This window comes from Homo sapiens, chromosome 2 (assembly GCF_000001405.40).
Source record: "Homo sapiens chromosome 2, GRCh38.p14 Primary Assembly".
Taxonomy (NCBI): domain Eukaryota; kingdom Metazoa; phylum Chordata; class Mammalia; order Primates; family Hominidae; genus Homo; species Homo sapiens.
Window position 1 is genome coordinate 180,689,076 of NC_000002.12, and position 26,264 is coordinate 180,715,339.

At 37.3% G+C, this 26,264-nt stretch overlaps 1 long non-coding RNA gene across 7 annotated transcripts in view; it reads left to right on the forward strand.

Annotated features, from left to right (window-relative positions):
* Positions 1-3,028: 3,028 nt before the first annotated feature.
* SCHLAP1 (SWI/SNF complex antagonist associated with prostate cancer 1) overlaps positions 3,029-26,264 on the forward strand; it is a 224,836-nt gene continuing 201,600 nt past the window's right edge. For all 7 annotated transcript variants that reach the window (NR_104322.1, NR_104325.1, NR_104324.1 and 4 more), the window contains exon 1: positions 3,029-3,366. This is a non-coding gene — a long non-coding RNA (SWI/SNF complex antagonist associated with prostate cancer 1). The remainder of the gene's footprint in view (positions 3,367-26,264) is intronic.

The window sequence follows — 26,264 nt, forward strand, 5'->3', positions numbered from 1 at the left end:
ATCCTCTGGGCCTCCCAAATGTTTTCTTTCAATCTATCTAGTATATCATGAATAATGGGTAACAGTGTTATAGGGGATGGTTGGGCTTAAGGCCCTAAAACTATTAAAATGAATATAGTCGTATGAGTAGAGAAGACAGCATATAATTTCATAGCATCAGGGCATTCTTAAGACACCTGGGCTATTGTCTGCTTTTTTCATTTTGTCCATGTACATAAATGGTTCATACAATATTAGTTTTGGTTAAAAATAGCTTCTAACTAAAACAATAGACTTATGATGAAAACGAATATGGGAACTTGGATATCTATGGCCAAAATTCATCCAAATCAAGTAATAATAGTTTTTAAGATGATAAAAAAATTATACAAAACTAGTTCCTAAACACACACACATACACTGCCCTTTAATATTATAATTTTGTTTCTCTGAATAGAATTGAAAAGAACACTCAGCCACATTGTTGTAACATGTTGGATCCTATTATTTTTAGGTTGCTAACCAATACCAATTTGCACCAAAAGAAAGAGTTACAATTGATGAAAAAAATTAAACAGATTCAAGTTTGATTTTATCACAGTTTTAATCCCTTTAACACAATATTTCATTTTTTTATGTCAAACACCCATTGAACTCTGTTTTGTGGATGTTTTGTTAAAGCATATTGTCCTGACATTTAATGCAAGCAAGTCATTGTTAAAGACATCTCAGTGTATCCTGCCATTATCTCTTCCTTCTGTTAAATGGTCACTGGATACATCAAGTCTACCTCAGAGATGGCTCCAGAATGATGGTTATCTGTCCAGATATAGGCCAAATGAATGTCTGTAAGGAATCAAGTCATTTTTCAGAAAACAGCACTACCCAACTTCAGCTCATGAAAAGGTCCCAAAGTTTTTCATAGACATGATTACTGCCTGGAAGTTTTTCAAAGCAAGAATAATCAATAGCCCAAAAGAACCCCAAACTGAGCCTCAAATCTCCTCTGTTGGTAATGCTAACGTGTATAATTAGGACATAATGTATTTCTGTTAAACTTTGTGCATGATTTGAAGATGCTAATGATAAGAAGTTCTATTTTGGACAACTGTGTATTACTCCTGGATTAGCTGGAGATAGTAGATGCAGTAGATACCCAGTGATGGAGACTGCACAACATGGTGTCCTCCCTCAGTTGCTTTAGGGTCACACAAGAAGACACAGAGCACATGGACGTTGAACTTCATGATAAAATACAAATTGTGTGATGCAAATAGCTAAGTGGTTGTGCATAACAAATACTGAACAAACGGATAGAAAATGGATTCCAGGGAGTTTGCAGTATCACTCACCATGGTTGGAAGAGGGTATTGGGGCTCAGTCAATCTTAAAGTTACATGAACACTTTTTATTTGATACCAGATGTAACTGAACAATGTTCCTTTTGATGTATGAGGCCAACCAAAATATCACCTCCAGGTTTTCTTTTCCCTTTAATGCAGGAAATTTAATTTGGTAGGAAAATATAGGTCTCTTCTCACCTTCTTCAGTTTCCTCCCTCCCTCCCTTCCTCCCTCCCTTCTTTCCTTCCTTTCTTCCTTCCTTCCAAGTCTTAGTACATATATAGAGAGGCATTCTGGCCATTAGTTTTTCATGAAAGTAGTTTATTCCTGAATCATAGGCTGTTTACAGTCATTGTACAGCTTGCATATATTTATCTTTAATCATCAGTTGCCTGGGAAATGATACAACATAAGATGTTGGTATGAGACAGATATTCTTCTCTCTTCCATTGTTCTCTCTCTCTCTCCCTGTGTGTGTGTGTGTGTGTGTATGTGTGTGTGTGTGTATTTATAAGGAAAGACTGCTGCTGTGTTAAATAATCAGATGTAATGCTTATAAGTATTTTATATAGTATTTCAAAACACAGACCCATAGCCAAGGAAAGTATTCCCTGTTATGATATTGCTGCTTAACAGTAAACCACTAATAGTATCCCTGAATCCCTGGGTGGTATTAGAAACAAGTCAGCACACCTGAGCTAAGGAGAATACATTTAGGTGGAGTTATACTGGATTTCAGCCCCTTGTTTCTCAGAGTCAAGGAGAGGGAGATAAGACAGTAAAATATGGCTTTTCAGTGGGTCATTTTGAGAGGTGACAGCGTGCTGGCAGTCCTCACAGCCCTCGCTCGCTCTCAGCGCCTCCTCTGCCTTGGCTCCCACTTTGGCGGCACTTTAGGAGCCCTTCAGCCCACCGCTGCACTGTAGGAGCCCCTTTCTGAGCTGGCCAAGGCCGGAGCCGGCTCCCTCAGCTTGCAGGGAGGTGTGGAGGGAGAGGCGCGAGTGGGAACCCGGGCTGCGCCTGGCGCTTGCGGGCCAGCTGGAGTTCCAGGTGGGCGTGGGCTTGGCGGGCCCCGCACTCGGAGCAGCCGGCCGGCCCTGCCGGCCCCGGGCAATGAGGGGCTTAGCACCCGGGCCAGCGGCTGCGGAGGGTGTACGGGGTCCCCCAGCAGTGCCAGCCCACCGGCGCTGCGCTCGATTTCTTACCGGGCCTTAGCTGCCTTCCCGCGGTGCAGGGCTCGGGACCTGCATCCCGCCATGCCTAAGCCTCCCACCGCCTCCATGGGCTCCTGTGAGGCCCGAGCCTCCACGATGAGCGCCGCTCCCTGCTCCACGGTGCCCAGTCCCATCGACCACCCAAGGGCTGAGAAGTGCAGGCACAGGGCGCGGGAGTGGCAGGCAGCTCCACCTGCAGCCCCCGTGCAGGATCCACTGGGTGAAGCCAGCTGGACTCCTGAGTCTGGTGGGGACTTGGAGAATCTTTGTGTCTAGCTCAGGGATTGTAAACGCACCAATCAGCGCCCTGTCAAAACAGACCACTCGGCTCTACGAATCAGCAGGATGTGGGTGGGGCCAGGTAAGAGAATAAAAGCAGGCTGCCCGAGCCAGCAGTGGCAACCTGATGGGGTCCCTTTTCAAGCTGTGGAACCTTTGTTCTTTCTCTGTTTGCAATAAATCTTGCCACTGCTCACTCTTTGGGTCCACACTGCTTTTATGAGCTGTAACACTCACCGCGAAGGTCCGCAGCTTCACTCCTGAAGCCAGCGAGACCACGAGCCTACTGGGAGGAACGAACAACTCCCGACGCGCCGCCTTAAGAGCTGTAACACTCACCGCGAAGGTCTGCAGCTTCACTCCTGAGCCAGCGAGACCACGAACCCACCAGAAGGAAAAAACTCCGAACACATCTGAACATCAGAAGCAACAAACTCCGGACACGCCGCCTTTAAGAACTGTAACACTCACTGCGAGGGTCCGCGGCTTCATTCTTGAAGTGAGTGAGACCAAGAACCCACCAGTTCTGGACACAATTTCAAGTCCTCAGGGTGAGTTTTCCCCAGCTGAGTGAGAATATAAATTAGTCACAGGAGTACCCTGAATCACTGTTTGGTTGGACTAGTTTTTCTAGGTGAACACTGTGCTGGCTGTGTGGCACAAACTCCTGATTGGTCAGACTGAAATTTCCTTGCGGAAGAAAGAGGAGTATGTTTTTATTGAATCCTATTATTTCTTAACTCCTAGGACAGACTTCTGCACAGTAAGGGCCTATCAAATATACCTATTAGGATAATTATATTAGCTTTTCAGAAGACAGTTACCAGGACTGTGTGATTTGTGCTTTTCTATATTTTTCCCTTTGTGCTTAGCTTAAATCTATTTGGCAATGTTGGTAGTGACTTTCTTGAATACTGTAAGGTTCTATGAACATTAATCTAGCTAATTTTATTTTATGCCACAGCAAATTCTCAAAGCAGAATATTGGTCTCGGCTGGGCGCAGTGGCTCATGCCTGTAACCCCAGCACTTTGGGAGGCCGAGGCAGGTGGGTCACCTGTGGTCAGGAGTTCAAGCCTGGCCAACATGGTGAAACCCCATCTCTACTAAAAATTGGCTGGGCTTGGTGGTGCCTTTAATCCCAGCTACTTGGAAGGCTGGGTTAGGAGAATTGCTTGAACCCCGGGGGAGAGAGCTTTCAGTGAGTGGAGATCATGCCACTGTACCTCAGCCTGTGCCACAGGAGCGAAACTCCGTCTCAAAATAATAATAATAATGGTCTCATGATACTCATAATAGTGGTAGTTTGTGCTCTAAGACTGTCAATTATTCTGTAATATATTTGTATTAGGTTGAGGAGAAAAGAATTTGGGGAATCAGAAGAAAGAAATAAAAAGAAGAAAGGAGGCGGCTGAAATTTCAATAGGTCACCCAACATCATCCGTTCCTTGCAGCAGAAGCTAGTATTGTCATAGAGGAAGACACAAGAGTAGGGAAAAGCAGGAGTCTGTAAATCAAAAGAGCTCTGTCCTACTCCCAGTGAGCAGTGCAACTGGAAGAAATTCTAGAACTTCTCTATGCTCCATTTTCTATTTTAAAAACATTTTTTAAAAACTTTCTTAATTATAACACAACCATCTTTTTGAGTATAATTTTTTTCTTCACAAAGTACTAAAGCTACTAGTTAAGCTTCCTTTGTGTAAGCCTCAGAACAGGAAAGTTCTGTTGACAGAGCAATCTCTTTATTTTTTTGTTTTATTTGCCTATAGGATGACATCTTAAAAATCTCAAAAGCAGAAAAACATAGCTGAGAAATGAACAGCTTATTTAGTCTAACTCATGGGAAATGCAGCTAGCACATGTTATAAGACTTCTAGAATTTGTTGATTCATGTGAGCATTAATGATCTTTATTTGATTTTAAAAATGAAACTTTCATTTCAAGCTGCCAAGCCGAAACATTTGCATCCTGTACAAATGAGTACTAAAGGCCCTTTCATTGGCAGATTATTGGCTGTGCTATGGAAATGAGAAGATTGACTCTATGAATATTGTATCTTTAGCTGTGATCAACTCATTCTGAAGATGACATGACATGATATGACTGATCATAAAAAATTTATTGGTCTATTTTCCAAAGTTTGTTGAGTTACTTTAAAACATAAAGTTATATTTCCCATTTAAGTTTCTTTCCTTTGAAAACTACAATGAATCTTTTTCTGCAAAGACAGATCTTAAAAAGGTCAGCCATTTTTAGCCATTCATGCAGAAGTACATCTCACATTGACATCAAAATGGAAAATATTTTAATTATTTCTTGTTTCACAAATAAAAATAATAATCATTGGACTGAGAAAGGTATAAACAATTTCTGGTAAACTTTTGCTGAGAAAGCTGTGAGAAATGAAACTATCAGGGTAAAACTTATAATACCTGCTTAGATTTCAGACATAAAGTAAATTTCCCAGTCATCATTTTAAAACAGCTGTGAAGTTCATTATAAATAATGTTATAAATTATATGCGATAATCTTTTTTTTTTTGCAATTGTCAGTGTGTTTATCTCTTGTGATCCTTCTTTTTTTCCAAAATTCTATTAGCCCTAAGGAAATGTTTACATTTTGTCAGAAGCTGTTGAGACTAAAGTTTGTGGCTTTTTAACATATACAATGTTAGCATTATTCTTTGTTCACTGAACATCCATAGCTCTCCCTGTGACAGGCTGTCAAGAAATATGTCTCTGAAAAGACAGGTTAGCTCCTCAAAGACAATCACTGATGCAATTCTAAACGATGTTCTACACCCCACCAGAGTGCCCCTTACTGTTCTCGTGTGCAGTGATGTGATGTCTGAACTATTTGTTTGCTCTGCCATAAGATAGCATTAGCAGATGTAATGTGAACAGATCACTCATTTGCAGAAATATTTATGGTAGTGCTTTCAAAGGATCATTCAATCTGCAAGTTGCAATTGGTGAAGCATGTAGCAAGGACTGTTTCTAAAACCATGTAGGCTAAAATGTCATACTACAAGGCAGTTAAAATGGTTAATATGTGTATGTCCAGAGATTAGAAAACACATGCTGTCATATTTGAGCAGATTCAATACACGTGCATTTTCAGTAAAGCAGAAGTAATCATCTTATGTTGAAAGGGCTAGGTTAAATTGCTTTAAGAAAAAAGCTTCCCTAACACATACTTTATGCTGCCCATCAAGGAAGCTTTCCATATCTAAAATGCATCTTCTTCTACCTGACAGAGCTTTTTTAACATAATATTGTTTTCTGAGCAATACTTAAAATCACACTTCACAGCATGTGATTGCAACACATTTAAAAGTGAAACTGAGCCAGTCCTACTCTTTATAAGGCTGCTGATAAATTTTTCTATCATAATGAGAAACGCCATAGAAGATGAATTAATTCAACAGATACACATAAGTGTGATTCTGGCCACAAACAATTGCTTTCATCCCTGGGATGCAGCATCGCATGCTTTCATTAAACACCTCACTGTGCTCTAATTATTGACAGTCTTTTAGTCCAAAAACAGCCCAGAAGCAGGTCATAAAACATAATGCCCGGCCAATGGATGCTGGCAGATCTTTGTCAAAAGTTTGGCAAAGGTATCTGAGAAATCTCTGAGAGGATAAGAAGAGAAAACTAAATACATGCGGCTAAAAGCTAGGGAATACCACAGGGATCTGACTTTTGGACACTTCTTAATATAATACTTTCATTACTTTGGGCTACTTAGCGCAGTGATAATTTACTAAACAGAAGCAATTTACTAAAGAGACTCCAGAAATGTAAAAGAATTATTGCACCTCTGGAAAAAGTACATAACATTCCCTCTGAAAAGATGAGACCCAGCATTTCCAATAAAGTTGATTTACTACTTAATGCGCCTCTGAAACAGCGTGGTGTTGGTTCAGAGAGCAGTTTGCAGCAATTCGATTTACACTAATCAAATGAAATGGTACATTTTCCTGACACCTAAATGAAGTACACATTTTAAAAAATTACTTAAGAAAATAGATATTTGAAATATTTAGTCATTGTGATGGAAGCTAGCAGACATTTCACACTTTAAATGGATGGCTTCTAGTTGTCTCTAAAGATACATCTTTGTAATCATCCATCTTGTAAGTTTGCTTTTAGAAATAAAATCTCATCCTTCTAATTGTGTTTAACCTTATGTCAAAAATATTTTAAATACAGTCCTGTGTCACTTAACAATGAGGATACACTTCTGAGAAACACATCATTAGGCAATTTTGTCATTGTGCAAACATCACAGAGTGTACTTAATAGATGTCATAGCCTGCTAGATTTACCCAGGCTATGTGGTACAGCCTATTGCTTCTAGGCTACAAGCCTGCATGTCGTGTTACTGTACAGAATACTGTAGGCAATTATAACACAATTGTAAGTATTTGTGTATCTAAACATAGAAAAGTACAATAAAATATAGTAGTACAATCTTATGAGACCACCATGATATATACAGTAATGGTGTTATGTGGTGCCTAACTATATATTTAAGAGACCTCGTGAATAGAATGAGAAAGTATAGCCAAATAGGAGTTCTAAAAAATTATATAAGAAATGATGCCATTAAATATTTTTCTTAAAAGGTGATGGGTGTTTGTGTAAGGGCAGAAATTTTGTAAGGTTTATATTACGCTTACAGGTACTGAACACCTGCTACATGCTGGTTATGGTCCCAGGTGCTTAAATTACAAAATTGTACACAACATACTCCTTTTATTTAACAAATGTAACTTTATTATTGGAAATCATTTGGTGTCACAGAATCGTGTAAGAGAGCATCCAAACCAGATCTGGCATGTTAAGGAGATCTCCAAAATCCTGAACTGAGGTGGAAAAACAAAGATGTAGTTGTTTCCAGGATATGAGTAGTATGTGTCTTTTTGGGCACAAGGGGCAATGAGCCTGGGGGTGAACCCAGGTAGAAAGTGTAGAAAATGTGGCTTGGACAAAAGCACCAGTATGTGAACTTGTCCTCCTGATGGGATAGGGAAAGTACCGGGCAAGGGGGAGAGTCAGATGGAGTCGGGTGGGACTTGGTGAGGTGATGTCACATTACAAAGGACTCATTGACATGCTAGACACCCAAATCTAACTCTGTGTGTCATGAGGAATTGTAAAAGGCTTTTAAGCAAGGTACTGACATGGTCGTAGTCTTTTAGAATGAGAAATGAGGAAGAATTGAAATGAATACAAAATGGACACAGGGAGATAAATTAGAAGACTGATATAGTAAAGGTGAAGACCTCAACTGAGTCAGTCACTGTAGGAGAGAAGATTCTACAGATACTAAAGCAGTAGAATCAGATTCAACTCAAGACAAATTCTATGGAGAAGGTGAATGAGAAGGAATACTCAAATACAAAATCTGGTCTCAGATTTGCTTTTTTTTGTAAAGATAACTAGACGAGATATTATTGACCCTAGCCAAAAATAAGAGAAGAAAGAGGAGGGGTAATTTGGGGGGAAGAAAATAAATATATTGTGTTGAATGCTGGCCTGGAGCTTATTAAATGAGATTTGGGCTGTGATATGGATTTTAAAGTCACTGGAGTGAAAAAGATTATTAAATTTATGTATGTGGAAGATATCTAGGGAAAATATTTGAAGAGAAACAGCTCCAGGAAAGCATATTAGGAAAAAACACATGCATAACTACTATTGAAGGAATGTAAATCTATACAGCCAACTTTAAAAACACATCCAGAAAAGCTGAAGAAGAGAAGAATACTTTACAGAAAAAAGAGAAAGAATTTCAAGAAAGTCAAAGTCATTTAAGATATTTGAGAACTACAGAGAAGTAAATTAACATAAAGATTGAAGAAAGATCACCTAAATAAAGAAGTAGTTGCAAGGAAGAAGCTGAGATGAGAGAGACTGATGGCAGCGTGCTGGGGGAAGAAAGAGAGGAGAAAGTGATGCCATGAAGAGGAAGCAAGCAAGAGGAAAAAGAGGGGGGACAGCTCCTAGAGGAGGTAGGACCCAGGGATGTGGTTATTTGTATAAGAGGGAGGTTTGAACAAGTTGATTATGTTGAGAATGCAAATTGTATTAGTCTGTTCTAATGCTGTTAATAAAGACACACCTGAGACTGGGTAACTTATAAATGAAAGAGATTTAATTGACTCACAGTTCCACATGGCTGGGAGGACTCACAATCATGGCGGAAGAGCAAGGGACTTCCTTACGTGGCAGCAGGCAAGAAGGAAAATGAGACAGAAGCGAAAGTGGAAACCCCTTATAAAACCATCAGATTTTGTGAAACATTCACTACCACAGGAATAGTATGGCAGAAATTTTGTAACATTTAGATTACATGTACAGATACTGAACAGCTGCTATATGCCAGTTGGCTGAGTAGTATTCCATTGTGTATATATGCCACATTTTTAAAATCCATTCATCTCTTGTTAGACACTTAGGTTGTTTCCATATCTTGACTACTGTGAATAATGCTGCAATGAACATGCCGATTTCAGTTTCTTTGGGTATATACCCAGAAGTGGGATTGCTGGATCATGTGATAATTCTATGTTTAGTTTTTTGAGGAACCTTTATACTGTTTGCCATGACTGTACTAATTTACAATACCACAATTTCTGCACATCCTTAACTGACCTTTGTTGTCTTTCAACTTTTTAATAAGACTCAATCTAGTATGAGATGATGCTTCATTGGGGATTTAATTTGCATTTCTCTGATGATTAATGATGTTGAGGATATTTTCATACATCTATTTGTCACAGGATCCTTGGAGTGTCGTTTCACCAGCCAGAAACCTCTGTGGCTGGTGGCACCTTTGCCCAAGTTTTGCTCAGGCCCACTGGGCTTGTTCTGCCCACTCAGCCTGGCAAGCAGCACTCAGTTTGCACTACTGGCTGAGATCCCACACCTGCCAAGGGAGAGCTAGGTGCAGGGTGGTGAGGGGTGTGTGAGTGAGCACAGGGTCCTGCCACTGCACACAGCCAGGCAAGCCAGATGCAGCCGAGCAGGCAGCTCCAGATGTTGGCACAGGTGCCAGCTCTGTGCAAGGCTGCAGCTGGACCAGATGCACCACAAGCGCCTTCTGCTGTGGGCACCTCCATCTGGACAAAGGGGATGCAGTGGTGCCCAGAAGCTTGGAGATGCCAGAAACCGCAGAGCCCCAAATAAGGTGTCACAGCCCTGGCTCAGGGAACCCCTAAGTCTGGGCTTCTGGAAGGGCCGCAGCTCTTCTCTCCTTCTTATCACCCTCAATGTGGTGAGTTGGGGGGAATGTTTCAGCCCTGTTTGTGTTAAAGCTCTTTCACTCCCACCATTCAGTGGGTCCCAAGTTCTTGTCCCATGTCCAGGGAGAATGAGGTATATGGACAACTGGAGGGTGAGCAAGGTGAAGAGGTGCTTTATTGAGCAACAAAACAGCTCTCAGGAGACTCAAAGTCAGTAGCTCCTTTCTTTAGACAGGTCACCCCAATGAGTGCAGGCCTCAGCAGAGAGAAGACCTGGTGTGGGTACCTCCTATCTGCAGGCAGGTCATCATGATGAGTGTGCAGTCCTCAGTGGTGAGGAAGCCCGAAGTGGTTACCTCCTATCTGCTGGCAGGTTGTCCTGTCGTCTCTGTGAGTCTGGCTGAATTTGGGGTTTTTATGGGTTTCAGAAGGGAGGAAGTGCATGCCAGTTGGTCCCTGGGCAGCCATGTGCGGGCCCAGAAAAATCACCATAAGTTCTCACTCCCCCTATGGACTCCACCCAGAACTGACAGCCTGGCCCCCAGGGTGCAGGCCATCCCTGGCTTGAAGGTGGGGCTTCACCAGGGACACACACCTTTCTGCACAGAAGTGTGTCTGCCTCTTGCCATCATCAACCCGCCCCCACAGCACCCATGGCACCCAGGCTGTTTGTGTTGAGGGGCACCTGCAGACCCATGCCAAGCTGCCCTCAGCCTCCCCTTGGCCTCTCTCCCATGCTCACTGGTGCCCAAAGTCTGGAGGGGGACAAGGTGGCAGGGGCTGGCATGTCAGCACTGCTCCAAGTGTGTGCACACCTGGCCCAGCCATGACAATGCCAGGGCTTGGCCTCGACTTTGTCACAAAATTGGAGAAGGTGCAGGGAGCAGAGAGAGGCCCAGCAACAGGAGCAGGCACTTCCGAGCCTGCAGGGTCAGGGGAGCTTCCCAGGCCCCCAAGAATGCAGAGATGCCTGGGTGCATAGTCACAGCTGGGCAGCTGCTCCTATGCTCAGGAGGGCAGGGCTCCTGCCTGTTCCTGGCTCCCTCTGGCTTCCTGGAGCTTGCAGCCCCAGCCACACCTCCCCTGCTGCAGCCAGCATCTTTGCAGTGGCAGCACCACGTGAGTCACTGTTGCCATCATTTTGGCCATTTGTATTTTTGTTTGTTTGTTTTATTTTGTTTTTGTTTTTTTGAGAAATGTCTATTCACATCCTTCAGTATTTTTAAAATCAGGTGATTTGTTTTCTTCTTATTGAGTATGTTGAGTTTCTTGCATATTTTTGGATATTAGCCCTTTATCCAATGTATGATTTGTCAATATTTTTCTCCCAATCTGTGGATTCTCTCTTTATTAATTGTTTCCCTTGCTGTGCAAAAGGTTTCCAGTTTGATGCAATCCCATTTGTCTAATTTTGCTGTCATTGCTTACGTGTTTGGGGTCATATCCAAGAAATACCTACTAAGACAAATGTCATGGAGCTTTTCTTCTGTTTTCTTCTAGTAGTTTTATAGTTACAGCTTTTACAATTAAGTCTTTAATCCATATTGACTTGATTCTAGTGTAATGGGTGACACAGGGGACCATTTTGATTCTTCTTCATGTAGACATCCAGTTTCCCAATACTATTTATTGAAAAGATGGTCCTTTCCCCATTGTATGCTATTGGCACCTTTGTAGAAAATTAATTGACTTTTGCCATGTCACATAACATGTAAAATAAGAAAAGAAAACATAAAATCAATTGACTGTATATGTGTGGGTTTATTTCTGGGCTCTCTAAACTGTTGGCAGATATGTCTGTTTTTATGCCAGTACTGTCTATTATGATACCTGTAGTTTTATAATATATATATTATAATGTATATTAAATATACTTTATATGTACTTATATATTATAATGTATATATAAAGTATATACTTTATATATACTTATATATTATAATGTATATTATTGTATATAAGTATATATCATAATATATACTTACATATGCTCACATATATTATAATGTATATTGTATATATTATATACATATTATATATGTATAATGTATATATACATTATATATGTATAATGTATATATACATTATATATGTATAATGTATATATACATTATATATGTATAATGTATATAATATATACAATATATGTATAATATATAATATATACAATATATGTATAATATACAATATATGTATAATATACAATATATGTATAGTATATAATATATATTATATATGTATAGTATATTATATATTATATATGTATAGTATATAATATGTATAATGTATATATTATAATATATTATATATAATATCTATAACAATATAATATATTGTATATATTATATATAATATATATTTATATAATATATATTATATATAATATATTATGTATTTATTTATATTATATATAATATAAATATATATAATATAAATAATATTTATTATATATTAATATAAATATTTATATTAATATATATTTATTATATATAAATAATATCTATGATATAAATAATATATAATATACATGTATATGTTATAATATATACATATAATATACATGTGTATATATACTATACATGTATATATAACATGTATATATATACATGTATATATATTATGTATACATGTATAGTATATATACATGTATATATATACATATATACTATACATGTATATATACATGTATATATATACATATATACTATACATGTATATATACATGTATATATACACATATATACTATACATGTATATATACATGTATATATATACATGTATGTTATATACATTATTATAATATACATATATAGTATACATTATATACATTATATAATATGCATTATTATAATATAATATACATTATTATAATATACATTATTATAATATAATATACATTATTATAATATACATTATTATAATATACATTATAATAATATACATTATTATAATATACATTATAATATTGAAGTATATATACTATAATATATGTATATATTATAATGTATATAATATACATTATTATATATAAGTATGTATTATATATAAGTATATATTATAATATATGTATATACATATATAAATATATATAACATACATTATAATATATATAAATATATATATATTTTTTGAAATCCCATAGTGTAATGTCACTCCCTTTGTTATTTTTGGTCAAGATTGCTTTGGCTATTCAGGATTTTTGTGGTTTCATAGAAATTTTAGAATTTTTTATTACTGTGAAAAATGACATTGGAACTATGCTAGGGATTGCACTGAATCTGTAAAGAATTTTGGTACGAACATTTTAACATTTTTTTCCACTCCATGAACATAAAATATCTTTCTATTATTTATAGCACCTTTAATTTCTTTAATCAACATTTTATCATTTTCAGTATTTATATTTTTCACTTTCTTGGTTAAATTTACTCCTAAGTATTTTTTACGCTTATTTTTTTCAGATAGTACTTTGTTAATGTACAGAAATGCTACTAATTTTAGTATATTGCTTTTGTATTCTGCAACTTTACTAAATTCATTGTACAATTCTAACACTTTCTTGGCGGGGTCTTTAGAATTTTCTACATACAAGAGCATGTTGTTAGTAAACAGACAATTTCACTTCATTCTTTTCTAGTTGGATGCCTTTTATTTTTTTCCTCTTGTCTAATTGCTGTGGCTAAGTCTTCTAGTATTACACTGTGTCACAAAGAAGTGGAGAAAGTAGGAATTCTTGTCTTGTTCTTGACCTTAAAGGAGAAGCCTTCAAATTTTCAGTATCGAATATGATGTTAGCTATGGGCTTATACATGACCTTTATTGCACAGAGGAACATTCCTTCTATACCTAATTTGTTGAGACTTTTTATCATGGAATGATGTTGAATTTTGGCAAATGCTTCTTCTGCATCTATTGAGAAGATCATATGCCTTTTGTTCTTCATTCTTTTAATATGATGAGTAACATTTATTGATTTGCATATATTCAACCAACTTCACATTCCAGGGATAAAACCCACGTAATTGTGGTGAATGATTCTTTTAATGTACAATTGCATATGGTTTGCTCTTATTTTTATTTATTTATTTATTTATTTTTGAGATGGAGTCTCACTCTGTCACCCAGGCTGGAGTGCAGTGGTGTGATCTCGGCTCACTGCAACCTCTGCCTCCCGGTTTCAAATGATTCTCCTCCCTTCAGCCTTCTGAATAGCTGGGATTGCAGGCGTGCACCACCACGCCAGACTAATATTTGTATTTTTACTAGAGATGGGGTTTCACCAGTTGGTCAGGCTGGTCTCAAACTCCTGACTTTGTGATCCATCCTCCTTGGCCTCCCAAAGTGCTGGTATTACAAACGTGAGCCACAGTGCCTGGCCGGGTTGCTAGTATTTTATTGAGAATTTTTGCATCTATCTTCATCAAGATATTGACCTCTAGTTTTCCTTCTTTTTAGTTTATTTGCTAGCTTTGTTATCAGGATAATGCTTGCCTCATAAAATTGGTTTTGAAATATTCTCTCCTCTTTAGTTTCATGGAAAAGTTTGAGAAAGATTGGTATTGGTTCTTTAAATGCTTGGTACAATTCAGCTGTGAAGACATCTGTTCACTGGCTTTTTTTCAATTATTAATTCAATATCCTTATTAATTATTTGTTCAGATTTCCAATTTCTTTATGATTCAGCCTCAGTAGGTTATATGTTTCAGGGAATGTATTCTTTTCTTGAGATTGTTGAGTTTTTCGGCATATAATCGTTCATATTAGTCTCTTATGAGACTTCCTGGATTATCATTGTAATGTCTCCTCTTTCATTTCTGCTGTCTTTGGGCTTAGTTGGTTCTTATTTTTCTAGTCTCTTGAGATATAATGTTAGGTTGTTTATTTGATATTTTTCATCTTTCTTGATGTAAGCATATATTATTATAAACTTATTTATTAGAACTTCTTTTGCTGCATCTAGTAAGTTTTGGTATGTTGTGTTTCCATTTTTATTTGTCTCAAGATATTTTTAAAATTTCTCCTTTTATTTCTTCTTTATCCCAGTAGTTTTTTGGGAGCATATTATTTAACTTCCACTGTTAATTGTCCATAATTCATTTTATTGATTTCTAATTTTATACCATTGTGATTGGAAAAGAAATTTGATATGATTTTGATCTTCTTAAATTTGTTAGGACTTGTTTTATGGCCTAATATATGATCTATCTTGGAGAATTTTCCATGAGCACTTGAAAGAATGTGTATCCTGTTGCTGTTGGGTGGAATATTTTGTATATGTCTATTAAGTCCATTTGGTCTAAAGTATAGTTCAAGTCCAATGGTTCCTTATTGACTTACAGCCTAGATGATCTGTCCAATGTTGAAAGTGGGATGTTCAAATTTCCTACCACTATGTTGCAGTCTGTGTCTCCTTTAGATCTTTTAATATTTGCTTTATATATTTAGGTGCTCTGATGTTGGGCACATATATACTTAAAATTGTTAAATCCTCTTGATAAATTGACTCATTTATCACTATTTAATGACCTTCTTTGTATCTGTTTACAGTTTTTGACCTGAAGTTTATTTTCTGAAATAAGTGTAGCTACTTTTGCTCTCTTTTTGTCTTCCTTTGCATATTTTTTCCATCCCTTCACTTTCAGACTATGAGAGTCCTTTAAGTTGAAGTTGAGTCACTGATAAGCAACATATACTTGGATCTTGCTTTTTTATTCATTTAGCTAATGTGGCAATTTTAGCTGCAGTTTTGTACCCAGAATTACTTTTGGTTTGCAGCGTTTCAGCATTGAAAAGATGATGTCTCACTGCTTCTACTAGATGGTGACAATTAAAATATATTGCTACCTCCCTCTGCCCATTCTTCTCACTCACCCTCCATTCCTCTTAACCTCCAACCCACAGGGTATTCCTTTAACATGATGAATTACAGAAATAAAAGAGTGAGGAAGGAAAAGACCGAAATAAGATTTTAAAAACAGAGAAAAGTAAGACAAGAAAATAAAAAGTAAAGTAAAAATGGAGACCCAGGGGTGACAACAAAAATTATACAGAAAATAAGAAAATGATGGTATTTGAAAAATAAGCCTTTTGCTTATGTCAGGATACTTATTTTTACACCCACAATGCATATTCAACCTAGATGACAAAGCAACATGTAATCAAGTCACACATGGGAAAGGAAGTTGCAGATATTTTTTCAAAATCATTATAGAAAATGTGACTCACAGAGGCCTTACATTTCTACTCCTGTTCAGGATAATCTTTCAAGTCAGAGAAGATAAAAACAATGTTTAGTGTTTATAAACTATGTGGGTGAAAAGAGCTAGGAGGATAAGGTTCTAATTTCAGAATCCAAATCACAAGCTTTTTGCATTTAATTGTGACAAAAATGGAAGGTTTGTATTAGGTAAGTGTTTGTAAATAAAAATTCAAATGAGCATTAAGGGATTTTGAAACCCTGATGAGGTAGTTACCTGCTGCATTATTTAGAACACTTGACACTCAAACTGCTGCCCTTTTGTGTGCCACACTGCCACTGGCTGATGTAAGGGCCTCAGAATTTCTCACTTAAGAGGTATAGTAAATGAAAATCCTTTACCAAAACAAGTTCCTGAAGTGTGTCATCCCTCTGCTAGACATCTAAGGGATGACTTTTTTCACAAATCATATTAACTCACCAGTACAATAGTAGTAATACTCATTGTAAGTTGCTGAATTTTGCAACTTAACGAATGACAAGAACATGGCATAGGTCAGTGATGCATGTTATGCTTAATTTTGAGTGAGTGACTTGCATGTTATATCTCTGCCTGTCTGAAAAAAAGTTGGTGAAAATAGAGGCACTAAACATCATTAGATTCCATGATTATACTACATTTTTGCATAAAATAAAACTTTCAGATGTTTTATAATTACTACAGTGTATTATCAAAATTTTATTATGCAATTAAAACATTAGCTACAACAAATATAAATATGTTCATGTGTTCTTAATTACAGCACTTTAATAATCACTGTTCACTTGTGTATAAGCTGTTTACATACAACTGGAAGCACTTTATGTGAATTAAATTAATATGAAAGTGGGATTTTAAACTTTTAAATCTATTTTTTTCTATAAATGGAAACTATTAGGTGATTAAAATGTATAACCAAAGGGATAAAACTGACACTGAATAACAGTATAACTGGTGGCTAAGTGCCATGACTCTGGGTTTAGATCCTGACTCTGCTACCCATTATCCATGACACCTGGCACAAGTTGCATCACCTCTCTGTGCCTCAGTATTCATATCAGTAAAATAGAAATGCCAATTATAATTAAAACACGTCCTAGGCTTGTTGTAAGGATTAAATGCATTGATATGTTGTGGCACTTAGAACGGCATCTGACACATAATAAGTACTGCATGAGTGATAGTGATGAATATCATTATTATTGCTTGATTGTCAAAGGAGCTATTAATCTAAATTATCAAGATAGGGGTCTTTAGTAAGCTTTCTCAAAAGATTTCAAAAAATGCCTAGGTAAGAAAAGCAAGCAATCAACAGGAAATTTTTCTGTTCTGTCTTAAAAATGCAAAATAGAAGACTGCCTAATAACTAAGGTGAAAGCAAAGGGTCTCAGACTTTCATGAAGAAAGCATAATGATATAGCAGTAGAAGTAGAAGAAACAGGAGTCTTCTGAAAAAGAAAAACTCTCCATATCTCTCCTCCCTGATGAACTCCCCCACCACTTTCTCACTCCTCCTCAAGAAGGAGACCTAATCAGCTAAGGCTGATGAGTCTAATGAGGCCATCTGGTAACATGCAGAAATGAGGAATGCAGAAATGCATCCACTGTGCATTAGATCTCTCTTGTAACACAAGGAAGGGACATACCAAAAGCCTATTTTTTTAAAAAGCAAAACAAATCACTTGCACTCTCTTCATTTCCTTCCTGCAGCCAGTAAGAGTGTGGTAAAATTCTGCTTTAGGGTTTCAGGCATATGGAAACTTGGGCTATATGCTCTAGCCCAGTTTACCGGAGCTATTTTTGGACTTTGGGACAAAAAGCCCAGCTACCAGTAAAGTGCTTGTCTGTTCCTTGGGCTATCATTCCTTGCTTATATATCTCCCTACCAGTGGCTCTGGTCTAGGGTAGGATTGGGCATTCCTGGGTCCTTCCACCTAATCTTATCTAAAAGCATCCGTATCTCAACACAATCTCTAACATCATGTAATAAATGGGGAAAATAAGAACCATAAAGGGAAAGAAACCTGCCCAAGGTTACATGGTTAGTTAACAGTAGCACTGTGGTTTGAAGCCAAGTTTCCTGACTTCCAGTTTAGTATTCAAAAATGGGGTGTAGTAGCTCAAATAAAGTGGAAAAATGCAGAAAATCCTCAACACTTTGAAAATGTTATTTTTAAAGTAGAAAGCATACAAACTGTTTTTGTATAGAACTGAGTTCTTACCATGCTTTATTCTTTCCTTCCAAGGTCCTTCTCAGAAAAGCCTCATTTTCTTAGCCAAATTCCCACTTAGGCAATTACATCCTGCTCACATAAACTGTCTTTATATCTCAATTGGACTTTGCCCACTTCCGTCTAATTTGTCTTGTTCCCCTAATTGGCTTTGCAGAATTGCTATGTGAGCTTCAAATTGCTGAGCTTCCTCTCTGCACTCCAGCGTATCCTTAGAGGGTCATTGAATAAATTACTTTTTTTTCCAGTGTTCTAAATAGTGCCCTAGTGCCCTGAAAGAGTTAATTCACCTCAGAGAGGTGAGCTGTTATTCACCCAAGAACCAGGATTGTTACTGACCCAAAGGGAGCTGTAATAATCTGGGCATATGGCCAATTAGCCACATGCTGGCTTAGCAGACATTCAGTAGTTGCCCAACCATTGTTCATACCCCATTGGAAGTGACTCAGCCATGGGGAACATGTGACTGTTCAACTGAATCCCAGGTCTCCCCAAAAGGAGAAATTAGAAGTAGATCTGCCTAAGAATGCTATTAATACCTGACTTGTGGAGGTTGGTTTTTCTTCACACTTAGCTGTAGGAACTCCTAAGTATACAAGTTGGTTCTTCAATGACCCTGCCTAAACAAGATATTAGATTCCCAAAGGAGCATCTCAGGGATTTTGACTGAAGATATGTATTCCGTGTTTCAAATCCTCGTAGAAGACATAATTATAGGGTGTTATTCCATCTTCTAGAGCTGTCCAATAGAAATACAATGTAGGCCATATATATAGTTTTAAATTTTCTAGCAGCCACAGTAAGAAAAGTAACAATAAATAGGTAAAATTTATTTCAATCATATATCTGATTTAACCCAATATATCCAAAATGGTATCATTTCAGCATATAATAAATATTAGAATATTATTAGTGAGGTATTTTTCATTATTTGTACTAAGTCTTTTGAAGATGGTGTGTTTTACAGTTTGAGCATGTCTTATTTCAGTTAGAAGCCACATTTCATGTGGTCAATAAACATACGTGGCTAGTGGCTTCCATGTTGGACAGCACAGCTTTAGAGGTCATCTAAATTGGTCTAGCCTCAGAGAAGACTATATCTTCCTCTCCTCCTTACCTGTAATGGGTTTCGTTTGCTTCTTAGTTTTGCTTTTTCTGGGCAAATTCAGATTCCCTGAGCTTGCTCAATTCTTTCTAAGTTTGGTTCTGGATCTTCAGAATGGTCTGTAGATGACCAATTTTTCACAAAGATTTGCATTATGGGACTTTTGTAAGGTGTTTTCGCCCCAGCATCCCAATTCCTGAAATAGAATAGTGGAAAATGATAGAAACAGAGCTGTGGTATTTCCAAAAGTATGGAAAATGTAAGAGACAGAATCTTCTTTCCTTTTATTTCTTGATGGTAGAAAGGAAGAGAGAAATATTGAGAAAAAATAAATAAAGTTCAACAGTTCCATGAAACATTAAGAACCTACTAAGGATCAGGCCCTTAATGTGCAAAGATGAGCAAGCCATCATAACAATTTAGAAGCTTGCAGTAAAGTGGAGAAGACATCCTCAAGAATGATTTCAATACCATATAGAAGTGATCAATGAGAGGAAATCATAGACTGTGTGTGGGCAAACTGCATGATATTTTTCCTAACTTGGGATACAAGGATACCTTCCTGGAGGAAAAGAAAATAATAAAGTAAAAGCTTGGATGCCGTACAAGAGACCTAAAGTTTGTAAATCACACTATGAGCTCACTTACTTCCATAAGTGAGGGGAAACCATTGGGAGTTCCTAAGGGAGTCACCCATTTAGGTTTGTGTTTTAGATGGAACACTCTGACTGCTTTACGGAGGATGAATAACATGGAGTGGGAAGAAGGAAAAGGAAGTGGAGCACTAGAATAAAGGGGACAAAGTAGAGGCTGATACAGAAGTGCAGGTGAGAGACTGAGGACTGCCAAGGGTGAAGGGTTAACCTAAGGCAACGGTAGACATATATAAAGTAAAATTGTTAGTTTCAGTGGTAGACATATATAAAGTAAAATTGTTAGTTTCAGTGATTGGTTAGATCTAGGAGATTAGATTTGAAACAGTTAGATAGGGAATTCAGAGAGAAGTCAATTTAGATGTGAAGACAGTAAATTCTATTTTGACAGCCTGAATGTGTTGTTCCTGTGCAACACCCACAGGGACTTACATGTGTAGATAGTAAATAATATCTCTAATTTACAGATCATTTAGTGAAGTCAAGGAACTTTACATTTGTCATCCCATTTAATGGCCAGAATGACCTTATACAGCAGAAATTATTATGAGCAATTGTATAAATGTAGACATTCAGGCTAAGTGTCACAGTTAGTAAGTTGATTGAGTCACACAGTTAGGAGCCAGGATTCAAACTCCAAGCAATCTGAGCCCATAGGCTTCAATCTTCCTTAAAATGTTGTGCTGTGTCCTCTAGTTATAATACCACAGAGCAAAATTTAGGATTAGGGATGATATCGCCCAAGATGAGGGTAAAAAGAGATCCGTGAGTCGAACACTAAATCTTCTATCGCTCATAAGAAATCTAGAAGTCTGCTGCTTGTTATAAACATGTAAATATATGATGAATAGCTCAATCATTTGCTTACAAATTTACCATGTTTAGTTTACAATTTGAAGAATAGATTCTTCATAAATTATAACTTTATCAATTAAACACATTTCTCTTTAATAATTTTTGGTTACAAAGTAAAACCTAAGGTATGATTGTGATAATTTAATTTTAATTATTATATCATTTTTAACACAAGTTCTGTTAAATATTTACAGTATCTAGAATCTCTATTTTTTGCCAAATTTTGAAAAATTTAGTCAAATTTTGAAAACAAAAAGAACTAATAATATGCAAATTTAAAAGGATAGCAAGACAATTTTCAGTCTTGATAACTTGTCTCCATATAATTAGTTGGTTACAGAGGACTATCACTGTAAGGAAAGAAATCTCATCTACCTCCTGTCATTCTTGACTTTTTAGTAGTAAAAGAAATAAATAATTATTTAAAAATATTTAATGTACCTTTCCCACGGAATTATTGTCTACATCTTTTTATATTCATTTTCTGACTGTCACTAGAATAGCTTTTTGCTTGCTGCTCTAGTTGAACTTGAGTTCTACTCTAAAACTCAATTTACTTTATAGAGGTGCAAGGTCCCTTCTCTCTCTTCATGACTTCCATTTCTATTTTCTGTACCATAGTCTGTTTAGATTCTGTTGGATGGCCGCTATTTTTTGTTTGTTTGTTTGTTTTAACTTTTATTTTAGGTTCAGGGGTATATGTGCAGATTTATTATATAGCTAGACTCATGTTGCAGGGGTTTGTTGTACAGATTATTTCATCACACAGGTACTAAGCCTAGGACCCAATAGTTATTTGTTCTGCTACTGTCCCTGCTCCCACCCTCCACCTTCAAGTAGGCCCCAGTGTCTGTTGTTCCATTCTTTGTGTTCATGAGTTCTCATCATTTAGCTCTCACTTATAAATGATAACACATGATATCTAGTTTTCTGTTCCTACCTTAGTTTGCTAAAGATAATGGCCTCCAGCTCCATTCATGTTCCTGCAAAAGACATGATCTCATTCTTTTTTATGGCGGCTTAGTATTCCATTGTGTAAATGTACTACATTTTCTTTACCCAATCTGTCATTAATGGGCATTTAGGTTGATTCCATGTTTTTTTCTATTGTAAATAGTGCTTCAATGAACATATGCTTGCATGTGTCTTTATGATAGAGTGATTTATATTCCTTCGGGTATATACCCAGTAATGGGATTGCTGGGTTGAATGGTATTTCTGTTTTTAAGTCTTTGAGGAATCACCACACTGCTTTCCACAATGGTTGAAGTAATTTACACTCCAACCAACAGTGTAGAAGCATTCTATTTTTTCCAAATAGATTACTGGCTTCCAAGACCTTGCCAGTATCTGTGTTTTTTTTTTTTTTATTTTATTGAGATGAAGTCTCACTCTGTTGCCCAGGCTGGAGTGCACTGGCGTGATCTAGGCTCACTGCAAGCTCTGCCTCCTGGATTCATGCTATTCTCCTGCCTCAGCCTCCCGAGTAGCTGGGACTACAGGCGGCTGCCACCACGCCTGGCTAATTTTTTGTATTTTTTAGTAGAGACGGGGTTTCACCGTGTTAGCCAGAATGGTCTCGATCTCCTGACTTCGTGATCTGCCTGCCTCGGCCTCCCAAAGTGCTGGGATTACAGGCGTGAGCCACTGCGCCCGGCCTAGTTTTTACTTTTTAATAATAGCCATCCTGAATGGTGTGAGATGGTCACTGTGATTTTGATTTGCATTTCTCTCAATATATCTCAATATCATCAGTGTTATTGAGCTATTTCTCATATACTTGTTGGCCACATGTATTGTTTTTTTTTTATTTTTGAAATGTGTCCGTTCATGTCCTTTGCCCACTTTTTAATGGGGTTGTTTTTTTTCTTGTAAATTTAAGTTTCTGATAGATTGTGGATATTAAACCTTTTCAGATGCATTGTTTGCAAATATTTTCTCCCATTCTGTAGGTTGTCTGTTTACTCTGTTAATGTTTTCTTTTTTCTGTGCAGAAGCTCTTAGGTTTACTTATATCCCATTTGTCAAGTTTTGCTTTTGTTCCAGTTGCTTTTGGCAACTTTGTCAAAAAATCTTTGTGCATCCTATGTCCAAAATGGTATTGCCTAGGTTGTCTTCCAGGGTTTTTATAGTTTTTGGTTTTACATTTAAATCTTTAATCCGTCTTGAGTTGATTTTTGTATATGGTGTAAGAAGGGGATCAGTTTCAATCCTCTGCGTGTGGCTAGCCAGTTATCTCAGCAACATTTTTTTTTTTGTCAGCTTTGTTGAAGATCAGATGGTTGTAGGAGTATGCCCTTATTTCTGGGCTCTCTAATCTACTCCATGATCTATGTGTTTGTTTTTGTACCAGTACCATGCTGTTTTGGTTACTGTAGCTCTGTAGTATATTTTGAAGCCAGGTAAAGTGATGCCTCCACCTTTGTTGTTTTTGCTTAGGATTGCCTTGGCTATTAGGGCTCTTTTTTGTTTCTATGTGCATCTTAAAATAGTTTTTTTCTAGTTCTCTGAAGAACGTTATTGGTAGTTTGATAGGAATAGCATTGAATCTGTAAATTACTTTTGGCAGTATGGTTATTTTAATGATATTGATTCTTCCTATCCATGAGCATGGAATGTTTTTCCATTTGTTTGTGTCATCTCTGATTTCATTAAGCAGTGGTTTGTAGTTCTCATTGTAGAGAACTTTTACATCCCTGGTTAGCTGTATTCCTAGGTATTTTATGTTTTTTTGTGGCAATTGTGAATGGGACTGCATTCCTGATTTGGCTCTCGGCTTGGCTGTTGTTGGTGAATAGGAATGCTAGTAACTTTTGTACATTGATTCTGTATCCTGAAACATTGCTGAAGTTGTTTATCAGTTGAAGGAACTTTTGGGCCAAGACTATGGGGTTGTCTATATATAGAATCATGTTGTCTGCAAATAGTGATAGTTTGACTTTCTCTCTTCCTATGTGGATGCACTTTATTTCTTTTTCTTGCCTGATTGCCCTTTCCAGGACTTCCAATACTATCTTGAATAGGAGTGGTGAGAGAGGGTATCATTGTCATGTGCCAGTTTTCAAGAGGAATGCTTCTAGCTTTTCCCCATTCAGTATAATATTGGCTGTGGCTATGCACACAAGCTAGGAGAACTACAAGAGATGGCTAAAGTCTTGGACACATATACCCTCCCAAGACTGAACCAGGAAGAAATTGATTCCATGAATAGACCAATAATGAGCTCCAAAAGTGAATCAATAATACATAGCCTACTGATATGGTTTGGCTGTGTCCCCACACAAATCTCATTTTGAATTCCCACGTGTTGTGGGATGGGCCCAGTGGGAGGTATTTGAATCATGGGGGCAGGTCTTTCCCATGCGGTACTCGCGATAGTAAGTCTCACGAGATCTGATGGTTATTATAAGGGGGAGTTTTTCTGCACAAGCCCTCTTCTCTTGTCTGCGCCATGTGAGATGAGCCTTTCATCTTCTGCCATCATTATAAGGCTTCCCCAGCCATGTAGAACTGTAAGTCCAATTAAACCTCTTTCCTCAGTCTCGGGTATGTCTTTATCAGCAGTATGAAAACAAACTAATATACCTACTAACCAAAAAAATCCCATGACCAGCTGGATTCACAGCTGAATCCTACCAAACATACAAAGAAGAGCTGGTACCATTTCTACTAATACTATTCCAAAAAAATGAGGAAGAGGGACTCCCCAACTCATTCTATGAGGCCAGCACCATGCTGATACCAAATTTTGGCAGAGACACAACAATAAATGAAAACTTCAGGCCAATATACTTGATGAACATTGATGCAAAAATCCCCAACAAAATACTGGCAAACAATCTAGCAGCCCGTCAAAATTGAATCTACCACCATCAAGTAGGCTTCATCGCCAGGATGCAGGGTTGGTTCAAAATATGCAAATCAGTAAGTGTGATTCATCACACAAATATAACTAAATACAAAAACCACATGATTATCTCAATAGCTTCAGAAAGGCTTTTGACAAAATTCAACATCCCTTTATGTTAAAAGCTCTCAGTAAACTAGGAATTGAAGAAACATACTTCAAAATAATAAGAGCTATTTATGACAAACCCAGGGTCGCTGTTTAGATACAAAGCAAGGCACTACTTAACACCCAACATCACCACCTACCTGTTTAAGCACTGATTATTGCCCCTATGCATTAATGCTACCCTCACCCACCCTAGATGGCCTGGCTGAAGCTCATTTGACAGGACCTTTCTATGTTGTAATTGGATGAGTCTCAGGATCCAGCTCTTACAACCTGAATCAGCCTCTGAGAAACGTTCACCCATATTTTTAGCTTCCCTCTTTGGGCACCAGCGTGCCACAGAATTGCCAACACAGTTCTTAACAGAAGATGTTGATACTTTTGTTATGAACTGCTTTTAGTACTCAGGGAATATAATCACAGAGCAGGGTGTCATTCTATAAAATCTTCCTATTTGCAAGCTTTTTAGGAATTATTTAGAAGAAGTAAATTCCAAAGTGACAAGATAAATAAACCTATTTTGTTTACTATTAAGCAAAATTTTATTTCCTTTTTCTTTTTTTAAAAAAAGAAATGTCCTTTATAATTCACAGCTAGAATCTCTCCAAAAATTCAACTAAGTTATAGTTAAGTTGTTCTGAGATTTAACTACATATAGGGTGATAGGTTGATAAGCTAGGCTTATTAACACAGTTGTCAAGGCACTCTCTGGCTCTTTCTCTTGTCCTCTCAGTTGTATCAATTAGCCCTCTCAATAACTCATACCTAGTCTTAAGTAGATTTAGAGCCTTTCTATTCATGAGGCCATTCAGGTAGCTGCCCAAGTGACATTTTCTGAAAGAGCCCAGAAAACTGATCTAACTGGAATCATCTCCAGCCAGCCCTCCAATGTATCTGTAATCACCATTAAGTAGTATTGGGAACAAAAACCTATGACTTATTTAGCTAATAGGGTTGTAATTCATGTGCATGAATAACCACATTTGTTAACCTCTTATTGTCACCATGACAACAGTAGAGTGTTTCATTTATTTTTAGAGTAAACAAATATTTATTGAGTGATTATTGCCCCATGCTCTAGGCTCTGCACAGGCACTGAG